The sequence below is a fragment of the Homo sapiens genome, chromosome 8, assembly GCF_000001405.40.
Source record: "Homo sapiens chromosome 8, GRCh38.p14 Primary Assembly".
Taxonomy (NCBI): domain Eukaryota; kingdom Metazoa; phylum Chordata; class Mammalia; order Primates; family Hominidae; genus Homo; species Homo sapiens.
The window spans coordinates 13,833,006-13,849,058 of NC_000008.11; the positions used below are offsets into that span (position 1 = coordinate 13,833,006).

General features: G+C 36.1%; 1 long non-coding RNA gene across 2 annotated transcripts; it reads right to left on the minus strand.

Moving 5' to 3' along the window:
• Positions 1–8: 8 nt before the first annotated feature.
• On the minus strand, positions 9–16,053 carry LOC105379292 (uncharacterized). Of its 2 annotated transcripts, NR_188128.1 has the most exons (3): positions 15,890–16,053; positions 1,317–1,459; positions 9–221 (listed from the first exon to the last, which is right to left on the minus strand). It is a non-coding gene; the product is annotated as an uncharacterized LOC105379292 (long non-coding RNA). The 2 variants fall into 2 exon arrangements; NR_188129.1 differs by lacking the exons at positions 9–221; positions 1,317–1,459 and adding an exon at positions 11,096–11,469.

Consider the following 16,053-nt stretch of genomic DNA (forward strand, 5'->3'; position numbering starts at 1 on the left):
TGGTTACATTTATTCCCAAGTGTTTTTATTTTGTTTGATGCTATTTTAAACGAAATTGTTTTCTTCATTTAATTTTTGGTTTATTGCTAATACATAGAAATACAGTTGACTGTTGTACGTTGATTTTTCATGCTGCAACATTGCTGGACTCAGTTATCAGTTCTTATAATATGTGCGTGTACAAGCTGTTCTTGCTCATTCTTGGGCAGAGGATGAGATACCTATGGCAGGAATTTAGTTTAACTTTAAAACAAAGGTGATAACAACACTTACACAAAACTAATTGCCTTCTTATTTAGGGACTAAAACCACCTTTGTAAAACTAACACATTGTCCACAAGGTTAAAATTATGTCTCAGGAGTCATGTAGCCAGAGGCCACAGATTTGTAACCTTCCTGATTGCTCCTATAGATGATATGATGGTAATAAAACCTAGGGTTAGTATTTGAGATATTTTTCAGACACTGCATTATGATGTACCAGCTGGTAACACCTGGATTGGCAACTCATACTAAGAAACTGATAACATGTCTTGTAACCCCTACCGAGGAACTGACTCAGTGCAAGAAGACTGCTTTTACCACCTGTGTTTTCATGCCTGACCCAAACAGGTAGCATTCTCCATTCTCTAACCCACTGACAGCCAAACTGTCATTGAAAATTCCTAGTCTCTGAATTCTTGGGGAGGTGAACTTGAGAATTATCTTCTGTCCTTTTACTTGGTTGGCCCTGTCATTACTAAACTCTTCCTTGGCTGCAAAACTGGTTGCTCTCAGTGCATTGGTTTTGCTATGCAGTAAGCAGGAAGAACCCATTGGCCTGTAATGTAAATAGACTTTCAAAATAGCTTCTATTTTTTTCTATTTACAAGGAAACCTTCCTTTTGACATTTAAGCTTTATATGCTTTCAAACTGACAGACTTATTCATAGGTTATATCAGCTGTTATTTGCCAAACTTTTTATCCGGGGACTTTAAAGATAATTCTCTGCAGATTTTTTACACTCTTAATGAATCAACAGTAGGCTCTGTAAAAGGAAATGAAAATGTGCACACTATATTTGTTGTATCAGTGAAACTCAATATCACAGGATTAGGAACTCAGAGATTCAAATTTTGAATAACTGGAGGTAGTTGTACATGAAATCATTAACAGCAAAAAGTTTTGCCTTTCGAAGAGCCTATTTATAAAAACAATTTCATTTTTTATTACAATAAACTGTCAATTGATTCTTTCTCAAACACCATATGTAAATTAATCATTGTAAATATTGTGAAAATGATATAGTTTGAGTAATCTTAAAAATCAGATATACCGTAAAACTGTTTCTTGTGTTGGCAAAGGAAATGTGAAAACAGCTCCTGATGTCGGGTGTTTAACAAGAGTTTTGTTTTCCACGGATGAAGGAACTTCTCCTCCCTTTCTTGAAGATTTTTTAATTTTAGTCTATAAAACAAACTGACAACAGACAGATTAGTAGGAGAAAAGGCATACGAGTCAATTTGTATGCAAATACACAGCAGCCACACAAAATGTGAGACTCCAGGATGAGCCAGATGACTGAAGATTTTATACTGTACAGAAATGAGTAGGGGTTTTTAGCTCTTGGAGTGAAGTGGTAACAGGTTATTGGAGGCCGAGGAAAAGAACTAAATAATGAGCAAAAGCGGTCTGGTTACGCAGATGAAGTCTCCCGAGCAGCAGTCCTCAGAGAGATGGTGTAGCCTTTAGTAAGTTTGTCTGTCAAACCTTGATAAGTGTCAGACCTTTAGTCTCTTTTTCCTGTGAGTTAATCTTTCCTAGAACCCAAGAAGGCAACCTCAGAAAAAGCCTCTGCCTGCATCCCCTGTTTGTTTTATTAAAGCAGATAGGTGTATATTTCTTTTACAAAAGGATAGCTTCTCAGAGCTCATTTTGTCTGCCCTTTCTCATCACAACTAACCCAAAATATACCAAAGAAGCATATTCTGGGTTAGTTGTGCCAAAGAAGCATATTTTGGGGTGGCATATTTTGGTTTCCCAGTTTCAAAAAATATAAATTAAAATGTTTATTTCTATGGCAGTTTATGGAAAACACACATAGTGCTCTTCCAGGAAAAGTATGGTTATGGTATATTTCTTATGATAGTAATTTGGTTTAGTAGTGCTACATATTTTCATACTCTCTTTGTGAGGTTAGAAGCAAGATGGAGTCAACTATGCCAGATTTATCTCACTGTCATAATTTTTGCAAAGGCACTTTCATTTGTCACTTGAAATCTTTGTTTTAATAATTTTAGAGGACAAAGAAAAAGTTATTTGATTTAGTGGCATTATTATGCATTGGTAGTATCAGTGGTTATTCAAAACTTTTAGCCTTTTCTAGTTAATAATATTTAAAATAAGCCTAGTTATTAAATTCTACCCAGTGTTTGCTTCTATTTCTCCCTGCTTCTGACATTCATTGGTCATTGAAATTATCACATTAAAATGTACCTAGAACTGATTATATTTTCAAATCCAAATAGTTGAAGTGAGAAAATAGGGTTTTCATTCTCTAGATTCACAACAGAACTTTCACACAAGTATTCTACGTCGTATCAAAACTTCCACTCCTTTGAGAATCATATTATCCTATCCTTTCTGCATTTTCTACAGCTTCCTTTGTAGGTTCTACATCTGTTTCAGACTTTGGTACCTGGATCATAGTTGCCAGATTTACACATCTTTGGATTATTTGAATGGTCTTTAACCATCACCTATAAAATTCCAAACAATAGCTTTGTGTCTAATTCCCCGGGCTTTTGCAGCTTCAATGGCCATTTACATTTACAGCAAACATCCTCCCTGCAGGGTCAAATTCTCCAAGTTTTCCTAATCTGGTCTGGTCAAGCTCAGAACCTTATAATATAACTTGCCTGTTCTCTGACCATGATTTCCTGTTTTTCTAACTCTTTTACTTCCTTATTTCCTTCATTTTATTTTACCAAAGATTCCAAGACCTTATTATCTTACTTCTGTTTTAGAATGTATCAGATACTTCCTGATCTCCCTTCCTTCACTGGCTTTCGTGAATTTCATGTCAAAAGTCTGAACAACTTTTTCAGTAGCCTAGATTTCTCAGCACCTGCCATTTTGTCATATTTATCCTTTCAAAGTGAACCCAGAATCACTGCTATGATCTGCGTTATCTTTTCATTTACTTCATTGAATAAGTGCTGTGGAGACAAAAAATACACAGGTGAAAATATCCTCATAAGTAACTTTGATTGTGACTTCGAAACATTTCATTAATACCTTTACTGATCTTGGGTAGCTCTACCTTTGATTCCTCACAATGATTATTCTAAACTTTTATGACTTTCCTATGTCTCCTTCCTCGGTTTCTATTAACCTCATTCTCACTGGACAACCTTATTCTTATTGAGAAGAAACAAAGCAAACAAAACAAGAAATAGATCCTGTGACCATTAGTTGGAATCTCACTTCTATACTCACCTACAAACATATCTATTCCATATTCCCTATTCTTTTCTCTATAAGATGTAAATATGAGTTTTTATGTTCCTTTTGAGTAAATATTTCCATATGTTTCTTTTTTTTGCTCCCTTGAGAGAACTTGGTGAGCGAATAAGCTCTTTTTTTCCCCCATTTTACCTTTAATCTCTTTTATCTTCCTGGGAAACATTCCCTCAATGCCTAGATAGGCTTAAATAGCCTTTTGCTAAACAAACAATATCAACAAACCCCTTTCTTTCTTATCTTTTTTTAAAAATTGTTTTTATACCCTACTTTCAATAATGAATAACCTTCCTGTTTCTTATACTAATATCTCTTAATATTTTTTATCTTCTTCCTATGGAGATTAATCAGTAACAGTCCTCATCATTCTTTGGTTTCTAATCAGTAACAGTCCTCATCATTCTTTGTGTTTCATATACTTCCTAAATCCCTCTAATATGGTTTTTCACTTTCCCCATGACACCAAAGCAATTTTTGTTATGGTCTCCAGTAACTTGTAATTCATACATTCAATTGGCACATTCAATTGATATTTTACAATATTTGTTTTGCTGAAAGGTTATATTACATTCGATGACTGTGGAAGAATTTTTCAAATTGTCTTTCTTAAATCCCACTTCACATTATTATTTGGAAAGACAGGAATGCTAAAATCACTTCACCAGCTGTCTTGCAGCTATAATCTTTGAAGTCAAATGTGTTTCTCCTTTAGAGGCACTCTAGAGAGATCAGGAAAAAGTGGAGTCCAGATCTGTGGCTTGAAGCTAGTGCTTCCAGTAAACAAGATTTGGAAATGAGTGGGTTACTTTCACTTGTGTTCCATTGCCGGGTGTTCAATGTCCTGCTGCCAATAAATGACATTGGCCACAGAGTCCTCATCTGATTTTCTAATTCCTGGCATGACTTTAGCTTTGTGTGCTCATTCTCCAGCATTCCATTTGTGAGAGTTCCTTGGGAAAGCAGCAGAATCTTCTGGTTTTCCTTATAGCTATAGTGATGGCTTTGCAGTATTAACTCTTTTTGAACTGAGTGTCATTCCAGAAGATCTAAATTGGAAACGGTACCTTCAAGATGCCTAACAATTATAGAAAGCTCCACAGAAATCCGCTTTGCAACTATTGTAACAGTGGGAGGAATCTAGCATAAACAAACTCTATCTTGCTTCTAACCTCACAAGCTTACTGCCCTTGCTCATTGCTGAATGTTGGCAAAGCTAAATATGGGAGAAATCTGGCTTACAATTTGATGTTTAATCAAGGAGAATAATAATTCCTTCCCAATACTGACCCTCTCCTTGTTCAGGGACCCAGACCATCTTTGTAAGGCTAATAAAAGGCCACAGCATTAAAATTATGGGAGGGGCCTTAATTCTGCCAAGATGTAGGCATGGTTAAATGATAACTAGCCAGAGTCCTGTAGCCAGAGGTCACAAGATTTGAAACACCACCCCTACCTTGCTCCTGTAGATAACATCACTATTATAAAACCTAAGATTGATCTTTGAGCTATTTTTCAGACTTTTGCATTCTCCTCACCTACTGACTCTACCTGGACTCATGCCACATACCAAGCAACTGACTCAACCAATCATGTGATCCCCACCTGGAAACTGACCCAAGTACACGAAGACAGTTAGACACTCTTAATGTTTCATCCCTAACCCAACCAATCAGTAGCACACATTCCCTAGCCTCATGCCTGCCAAATTATCCTTAAAAATCCTAGCCTCTGAGCTTTCAGAGAAGCAGATTTGAGAAATATTTCCAGTCTTCCCACTTGGCTGCTTTGTGATAATTAAACTCTTGACTGCAACATCCCTGCCATTCTCAGTGTATTGGCTTTTCCAGGTAGTCAGCAAAAAGGAGCCATTAAGCTGTGACACAATTATTAATTTAAATATCTTCATACTTCAAAATCCTATGTTGTATTCTGCTCCTCTGCTGAATGAATTCTGAATGCTAGAACACTTATTCTCCCTCTCTTAATTCCTTTCATTGCCATGACACAGCGCTCCTCCGGTCATTGTCATACCTCTGGTTTTTGCCTTCTTCTTAAACAGCTTCTCTTTCTCCTTTCTGTTTCTATATGTTTGTATTTAGGAACAACTCTTAGAGTCTACACACTGTCCTTGGTGATCTTACACATTCTCCTTTTTTTTTTTTCTTAGGCAGGTATGTTGCCCATGCTGGAATGCAGTGGCACAAACTTGGGTCACTGTAGCCTCAACCTCCTAGGCTCAAGTGGTCCTACTACTTCAGCCTCCTGAGTCGCTGAGACTACTAGCACATGCCACCATGCCTGGCTAATTTTGTTTATTTTTTGTAGAGAGGGGATCTCACTGTGTTGTGCGGCTGGCCTCAAACTCCTTGACTCAAGCAATCCTCCCATCTTGGCCTTACAAAGTGCTGGGATGGTAGACATGAGCCACCACATCCAGCCTGATGATCTTAATAACAAATATATGCCAACTCTTAAATTTGTATGAATAAGTCAGACTTCTTTTTTTTTTTTATTTTATTTTTTTACTGTAGACATAGACTAAGGTACTGTGTATCTCCATATGGTTATTCTACTTGTTCCACAAAAATTAACATGGGGAAAGTGAGCTCACTTTATTTCTCTATCCCCAAATATGGTTCGTTTCTGTACATTTTCATTTGATTTTTTACTAATCATGCATCCTTATTTGTCATTTTTATTCTCATCTTCTTGTATCACATTTCATATTCAGTCAAAAAATCCCTTTCTACAAAGGAAGCTATAGAAAATACAGTTAGGGGCCAGGCACAGTGGCTCACGCCTGTAATCCCAGCATTTTGGGAGGCCGAGGAGGGCAGATCACGAGGTCAGGAGATCGAGACCATCCTGGCTAACGCGTTGAAATCCTGTCTCTACTAAAAATACAAAAAATTAGCCGGGCGTGGTGGCAGGTGCCTGTAGTCCTGACTACTCGGGAGGCTGAGTTAGGAGAATGGCGTGAACCTGGGAGGTGGAGCTTGCAGTGAGCCATGATCGCACCACTGCACTCCAGCCTGGGCGACAGAGTGAGACTCTGTCTCACAAAAAAAGAAAATACAGAAAGGATAGGGTAGAATGATTCTCAAAGGAGTAGAAGTTTTGATGTGAAGTATTGATCTCATCCCCCTTCTTTATCCAACTACCATTTTTAAAAATTTGAGTCTTTGAAGGCCAGGTGTGGTGTCTCATGCCAATAATCTCAGCACTTTGGGAGGCCTAGGTGGGCAGATCACTTGAGGCCAGGAGTTCGAGACCAGCCTGACCAACACAGTAGTGAAAACTTTTCTCTACTAAAAATAGAAAAAATAGCCAAGTATGGTGGTGCATGCCTGTAATCCCAGCTACTTGGGAGGCTGAGGCATGAGAATTGCTTGAACCTTGGAGGCAGAGGTTGTAGTGAGACGAGACAGTGCAGCTGCACTCTAGCCTGGGTGATAGAGTGAGATTCTGTTTCAAAATAAATAAAATAATTAAAATTTAAATAAAATAAAATTGAGTCTTTGTCATCTCCCACGTAGAGCACAGCAAAAGTTTCTTCACTGGGCTGTCTTCCTTAAATTTATTCTCATACACTGCAGTCAGAATACTTTACATAAAACACAGAATACTTGATATAAACCACAACCAAGGCATGTTATTTCTCAGCTTGGTTCCCGTTAGTGGCACTTCATCGTGTAAGACAATGCCTAAATTCCTTCATGGTATTTAACTCCTTCATCAACCTGGCTTCTCTCTATCTTCCTTGTCTCTTTTCTCCTCTTCTGTGGTTGGTCCTGGTATACCTTCTCTCTGTACCTTCTCTCTGTTCCATGGCTGACACACTTACACATATGCAAAAAGATAAACTTTCAAATGAATGAAAAAAGCCACATTTTACTAAAGTTTACATTACAGCAAATAGTAAATTTTAATTTGAAACCTAAGCTATTGCATCTCTCTTCACCTCAGTTACAGAGATATGACCAACAGCATCCTATAGAGAACAATTTTTGTTAGTATTTATGGGGTATTTTCTGCATAGCTGGCAAAACTGTGAGCAATATCTTTAGAACATTTTGTATGTAATTCTGATACAGGTCCAATAAAATTTGTATAGTTTTTTGCAATATTTAATAATTTTTTAAGTTGGTAAGTGGTTAACTCAGGATTGAACCTAGATAGCCCATCTCCAAAGCTGTTTCCTTTACCATACCCTATATTGCTTCTGGTAGATTAAAAAACATCATAAGTTATGGTAGTGATGGCAATAGATTAGTTTCCTAGGGATGTCATAACAAATTACCACAAACTTGGTAGCTTTGAGGCGACAGTAATTATTCTCTCATAGTTCTAGAGACCAGAAGTCCAAAATCAACTTGGTAAGGCTGCTTTCTCTTGGAGTCTCTGAGGTCAAATCTGCTCCATGCCTCTTTCCCAGCTTCCAGAGAAAGCTGGCAATTCTTAGCATAGCTGTCTGCCCTCTGTATCTCTGTAACTTCCTCTTTTCTTATCGGGACACTTGTCCTTATAAGAAATTTAGAGTCCATCCTAAATTCAGGTTATTTTTATTTTGAGATTGTTAATTACATCTTCAAAGACCCTTTTCTCCAAATAATGTCACATTCTCAGATACTGGGTGTTAAGTCTTGGAAATACCTTTATTGATGGATACAGTTCAATCAATTAAAAGGATCGTCAAGGTATCATGGAAATGCTATTGACTATGTAATCTGTGTAGAGTTATAATATGATAAGTGTGCCAAGCAAAAGGCCTCATTTGCCACTGCTTTTAATCCCATGGCTCAATTATAACCAGAAATATTTTAGAAAGGTATTGTAAGAATTCCATGTCTGCCAAACTAGTGGAAAAAATTTCAAATTTCAGGTTGAAGGGAAAAGAGAAAGATTTAATAGAATGCATGTGCATCATTTATCACAATTGCTAACAATGTTTTTATAGAATGAAAAGGAATTTTTTGTCCATAAAACTGATGGAGGAGATAGACATTATTTAGGTAGATAATGAGAGCAAGAGTCCTTTGGCAGAACTTCCCTTCTAACAAAAATCAGCCCAAGAAATCATTTATTTTCTAACAAAGAGCAGCCTAAAAGATCGAGCTGCAAACATAAATAAGGAAGCTGGAAGTGTGCATGGGGGGATGCTGGCAGCTACACCAATAGAACAGGGCTCCCTGGGAGCCACGCATGTCCACCATGGGGCTCGACCTTCCCTTTGTTGTTAGCATGTGTACCGTAACAAATGGACAACATGGAGAAGCTCAGACAGGGAACCCACATGCATAATAAAAGACTGGGGTGGGGGCTGGCAGAGAGTCACACCCTATCCAGATGGCACAACAGGTCCTAACAAGTTTTTCGTGTCCTATGTAAATCAGACACGGCCTTCCCACTACGTCATCTATAAAAACCCCTGCATTTCACCACAGATTGGTAACTCATTTTTCTGGGACCCCTCTCTGTAGCATAGAGCTGTTCTCTTTGTTTCGCCTGTTAAATTTCTGCTCTGTACCTCACCCTTTGTGTGTGTCCATGTTCTTGATCTCTGTGCCTGTGAGACCAAGAACCTCGAGTGTCACCCCAGACAACAAGGCTGCCTCAACACGATTTTACTGATGAGGAGACAAATGATGAGATGTGTAGGTTTCCATTTATTTGAGTTCTGTTGTAGTTTTTCCTACAGTAACCATGCTAGCATGATATATAATATTTTTTATTTTCCGGTGTGTGTATGTTCATAGGCTGCCACTCACTGTCATTTTTACTTTGGGTTTACTTTGGGTAAGCATTTCTCTGACTTACCGAATACTCTTGAAGAAATACGTATGTTTTAATGATTTGCAACTCATAAAGCAGTTTTTTATATCCCAAGTGAGGCTGAATGAGTGATAACTTTAGGCCTGGCCACATTTTGAGAAAATATAACACATGAGTGTTTGGAACATGAATGAAAAGAAATCAAGTCAGTTTTTATTTTTCACTCCACTGACAACATATCACAAGTCAAAAATGATTCCTCCTGAACTTAAATATACAAAACGTCTCACTTTGAAAGCTGGAATTAAATTTTTGGTTCAGTAAAAAAAACAAAACAAAACATTTTCTTGAAATTTTATTCCTTTGTGTTATATAAAATCTTTTAAGTTGATATACTTGCTGTAGAAAAATTTTAAAAGAAAAATGGACAAAACCTGCACAGTGGTGAATTGTCATAAATTACATAATCAAACATAATTTTTCATCAAAATGCTAAATTTGTAGTAGACAGTAAATTGTTAATACTTAGATGCTTATAATTTTTGAGGAAATATCATGTTATAGACACTGTAAAACTAGGATGACAAACTGTATTATATACCCTAGGAGACTGTTTATAAGTTCATGAACAACCCCAAGTAGGAAAGAAGAACAAACCTGGAGATACCACACTATCTGATTTCAAAATACCTTGCCAAACCATAGTAGTCAAAAAAGCATGGAAGTAGCATAAAAACAGACACATTGATCAATAGAATAACATAGAAAGCCAAAACATAAACCCACAAAATTTGTCAATTAATTTTCAACAAAGCTTCCAAGAAGACACAATGGGGTTAGGGCAGTCTTTTCAATAAATGGTGTTGGGAGAACTGGATACTGACATGCAAAATAATGGAATTGAACCCTTACCACATGTCATGTACTAAATCAACTCAAAAGGGAGTAAAGATTTAAAATCTGGAGCTGAAAACTCTTGGCAGAAAACATAGGAGAAAAGCTCTATTACATTGGTGTGGGCAATGATTTCTTAGGTATCATCAAAAGTACAGGGAACAAAAGCAGAAATAGAGAAATGGGATGGCATCAAATAAAAAAGCTTCTGTGTAGCAAAGGAAACAACAGAGTAAAGAGACAATCCACTGATTGGGAGAAAATATTTACAAACCATATATGGGATAAGAGATTAATATATAAAACATGGAAGGAATTTAGCAACATAGTAACAATAAAACAACCGTTAGAAAATGGGCAAAAGATCTGAACAGACATTTCTCAATAGAAGACATACAAATGGCCAACACATATATGAAAAAAAAAATGCTCAGCATCACTATTCATCAGGGAAATGCAAATTAAAACCACAATGGGATGTCACCTCACAACTGTTACATTGGCTGTTATCAAAAAAGATAACACATATTGGTGAGGTTATGGAGAAAAGAGATCCTTTGTAAACTATTGGTGGGAATGTAAATTAGCAAAGTTCCTATTATTTTTAGGCAGCATATTTGCAATTTTGGTAATCTAAGATATATGTGAATATATACTATTTTACTTCTTCCTGCAGACTAAAATGTTTATGTCCCAGCAAAATTGATATGTTTGTATCAGAACCCCCAATATGAACCAGGGAGTGGGCCCTTATCAGATTCAGATGCTGAATTTGTTGGTATTTTGATCTAGTACTTCTCAGCTTCATAAATAAAATTCATGTATACATTTGTGTTGTTTATAAGGCACCCAGGGGATGGTAGTTTGTTATAGCAGCCTGAAAAGACTAAGGTACTCTTCCTTCCTTATTGTATTTCATTCCACCAATCATTTGAAAATCATTTATTGAACATCTGTTTTCTGGGTTTTGGGAATATAACAACAATGCAGATAATATAGCTGCTCTCCTAGGATTACAATTAAACAGAAAAGTACATATATAGTTTGAAAAAATAAATTAATCCTGAATGAAAACTGCATTTTGGTGCTGTACAGAACAAAAGCACAGTACTCTAATGGTATTAAGCTGACGATCCTCTTTTTCAATACAGTGTATAGTCTCAGAATATTTGCTGATTTGCACACTTGTGAGGCATTGGCAGATCTCTGGATTGTTCCTTCCTTACTCAAGACGCAGGCAGCCTGCAGGCCCTCGGTTTTCCTGAGGAATTCCTTTTATTGTTGAATTAATAGCATTGAGTCTAGTAGATGCAGAGTGACATATGTTAACATATTCAAATAGACAGGTCCTTAACATACCTAACTTCCCATATATTAATAAAGAATTATTAGTGTGATAAGTTACAGTAATTAGAAATAAATGTTTCTTGGAATTATGCTGCTGTAAAATTGGGGAAAAAAAAACATCTAGCCACCAGCAGAACAGACTTCCTTTCTCGTCATTTAATATAGACATCTGATAGCCATAGAAAGGGACAATCTAGACACAATTTTGCAATGCAGTTTGCCTTGAAAAGAGTCGGGTTGCACACAGGTGAGAAGCAGAAGTTCTAGTTTATACAGCTTGGGTATGGCTATGTCTGGGATACTATGTAAAATTCCTGGAAGTCACTTGGCCCTAAAACATAAGGGCAAAGATAAACAAAAAGAAATTTAGAGAAGATAGAGAAGTAGATTAAAATATTAAATATGTATAAGTTGGCAAAGGAAAGAAAGAGAGGTCACGTTACTGGTCCTCAGTTGTTTTCAGTGTATAAATCAACAGAGAGGCGAACAGAAGAATGGTTCAGAGACCTCTGAATTGAAGAAAAAGGTTTTGTTTTCCTTCACTCAAAATGGCTAAAGATCAAAAATTCTTCCTAACATATAAGAAGTCATTAAGTGTTCCATGATGGTTTTTTTTTCTCTGCTGAAAGTTTTTCATATCATTAAATAAAAGTTTTCAAATTACTAATGAGAAAGTTGAATTCTAGATGGATTAAGTGTCTTACTATAATAGTAAAAAACAAAAGTGGCTAGAACCGAAATCCCATCTACTGGTTGGCTGATCTGTTTTGTACCTGCATAACTGGGTATCCCTTAACTACTTACAACAGGGTCAAACTCTCTGAAGTCAATGTGGTTTCAAATATATACTCTAATTGTATTTAATAATATTATTTTATCTTTAATATTTTTATTGTTTTTCACAATGCAGAATACAGAAAACCCAGATTAATATTTTTGTGGTTTTAAGATAACACAGATAGTAGTGATTCTTAATGAGGTATATGGTGTCTGCTCTTGAGCTTATTAGATACAATATTCAGAAGGCTTTTATATTCATCAGGAATGTCAGTGGGTTTAAAAAGTTTGGGAATTCACTACTCTAAATAATGCAACTGAAGGATAAAGCCAGAATTTTGCTCAGAAATGATCAAAGTGAGGTTGGAATCTTCATAAAGTCATGGAATGAGAAACCAGAAAAGTGCTTAGTCCCAGTGTTGGGAGGTTCAGCTAGAAAGATCGGGGAAAGGAGCATGGTTCATAAAATACATTACTATACCTACTTTCCTTTCTACAGCTGAACTAATGCGGCAGAAATGAAGACTCAATTTATATCAGCCTACATTGCTGAGGAGTGTGGGAGAGAATATGACAGCCACACACTTCAAAGGTGGAAAATAGAGGGACAAGTGTTAGTTTACTTGCCAGGAGAGGTCTGAAGCCTACTTTGGAATGCAGGGTAAGTTGTGAAGCAAGCATATTAATCATCAATCCCCACCCAGAGGACTTGGGAAGTAGAAGGAGGTGGAATTCCTAAAATTGGGGTTGTAGCTTAGGCCATCCGCAAATAAGAGGGAAGGCTGAAAGTCTGTTTTTACAAATCAGAATCCCAATTTCTTTCTCCGTCCTGTGCATATAAGTAAGTGCCCATCCTGCAACCCAGAATAATTGGGAGATTTGCTCTCTAAAGTAACCAGAAAGATTCTGTACTCAACACATGATATGGTTTGGCTGTGTCCCCACCCAAATCTCATCTTGAGTTGTAGCTCCTACAATTCCCATGTGTTGTAGGAGGAACCTGGTGAGAGGTAATTGAATCATGGGGTTGGGTCTTTCCCATGCTGTTCTCCTGAGAGTGAATAAGTCTCATGAGATCTGATGGTTTTATAAGGGGGAGTTTCCCTGCACAAGGTCTCTTCTCTCATCTGCTGCCATGTGGTTCGTGCCTTTCACCTTCCACCATGATTGTGAGGCCTCCCCAGTCACATGGAACTGTGAGTCCATTAAACCTCTTTGGTAAATTTCCCAATCTCAAATATCTCTTTACTAACAGTGTGAAACCTGACCAATACACCACATTAGACACAGCTGAGAAAAAAATATTATGCAGCTAAAACAAGGGAACTAAGTGAACATACAACCCCAGGTTCATCTTAGTCTACTTGTCCCACAGAATGCTGGCATCTGGGTTTATAGTTCCCAGGTGAGAGAATAAAGGATATGATTCTTCTCTATAAACCAATGACTGATAAAATGCCTACAGAAAATTACAGTTGATTGTTCCTGGTCTGCATCTATCTCAATCTCCCAACTCTAAAACCTACTTTGTAAAAAGTTTTTGCCCATTCAAAGCAATCACAACAAAACAAAAATAAAAACAAAGCAAAATGTATCAGAGAAACATAAATAATAAAAACAGATTATTTAAAAAATACTTTCCTTAGGTAAAATAACATATTTTACTTATTAAATGAAGGGAAATTTGTAGAAAAATATTTATAGAATAAAGGGAACTCTTGTATATTAAAATAATTAATGATGAAAACATCAGCTCAAGTAGCCACTTTGCAAAAGAGTTTGGTGATATCTGTTAAATATGCAACTACAGCAAATCCACCCTTTGATGCATACTTAGAAGAAATGTGGGAAAATATATATTTGGCAATACCAGGCATTGGTATGGGTGTGAACAGTGGGAGCATTTTTATACTGCTGATTCATGTGTAAACTTGTACAACCATTTTGGAAAAATAATTTGGCAATATCTCTTAAATTTGGGCACTGACATACCCTGCAAATCAGCAGTTATTTCATTCTCAGCCAAATACTGTATATAAATTCTTACATTTTCTTAGGAGACACGTAGAAGAATTCTCATAGCAGCTTCGTGCATAGTAAAAAAAACAAAACTCCAGGCCCATCAACAGAAGCATTTGTAAATATTAGATTGGTGCAAAAGTAATTGTGCTTTTTGCCATTGGTTTCAATATATTGTGGTGTGTATTTACATGATGGAATTTCATACCTCAATGAATGTGAAAGTATCACAACTATCAAGTATCAATGTGATATTGAGATAAAAAGCAAATGTCAAAGACTGCTATATAATAAAATTCCATTTTATGAAGCTTAGAGGAAAATTGAAAAAAATATTGTTCCTGAGTTAAAATGTATGATATAAAAATTTTTAAAACCAAGACGATTATAACACAAATGTCAAAAGAATAATTCTCTTCTCTGGGCAGAATTGGAAAAGGACAGGAATGAACCCATTCGAATGATATATGTAAGATTGTATTATTATGTAAAACAGAGAGTTCATGGGAATTTAATTATTTTAGCCATAAAAATATATTTATATATTTTATTAAAAATAAGTAGAATATCACATAACTTAAAATAATTTAAATTATTATACTACATGTGGAAAAGAAAAAGATTAAAGGTCGAAAATATGTCATGTAAACTGACATAGACACATCTCCAAGTAGAATGAATGAAAAGAGAAAGGTATCAAATATTATGGCATATTTGTAATTTGAGAAAAATATGGGAATATAAAACATTAGAGATACGGACGCCCTTTGGAAAGGTACACAAAGAACGAGTATAAGTGGATGGCTGCTTTCTGAAAACTGATTATTTGGGAAAGAGTATGTTGGTGGGAAGATCATTTTTTAATTCTATTACCTACTAAAATAAGAAAAATCAGAGAAGAATAACCAAGAGATAGTCATCTGCAGAGATCCAGTGTCAAGAGAGGAAGAAGGAGAAGGAGAGAGATTAAGTACTATAACGTCCAAGGAAGGACGAAATTAAATGTAGAAAGACATTATACTCCAAGAAAAAAAAGGGAAAGATGGGCTAATTTTTTCTCTCGTATTAGTGGCTAAAACAACAATAACAATAAAACACTGAGAAAAAAAAAGAGAAAAACTGAGTCTTCTGTTATCTGAAGCAAAACGGTATCATTTTTCTGTTGATTTGTGGATCTAATAACATTCTTCCACTGCTTGTAATAATGAACTCTGTGTTATATTGAAAACTTTAGTTTTATCTTCAATAATCAAATGCTTAGCAATGGCCATTTTCATTTCAAGAAAGCAATAGCCAGAATTCAATTATATTTAGCTCCTTCGAAACCCTCATTTCCATAAACATGCTTTTTGTCTTCACTTTTATTGATTTAAGTACACATTTATTTATCTTTTTCTAGAATACCTTGTAAGCATATTGAGAGCTTTTCCTGCCAAGTGTAATTTGTCTATATTACTGAAAAGTGTTAAACTCTAGCTAATGTTCAGTAAGCAATAATGGTTATTTTGTATTTACTCATTATGTTATATGAAAATACATTCAGGCAAGATGAATTTTATTTGGTGGCATAATACTTACTCTTCCTCATTTCTGTGGATGCTTACATTTACTTGGGTGTCTGTGTGAATTTATCACAATCTTCATTAAGTCTTTGTTGTCAAACCCTCAGCAAGTATGTTACTAACTGAAAAGACTTGTTAGTCACATTGAGGGGGGCAGGTGTAAGCTTCAAGGAATAGCCC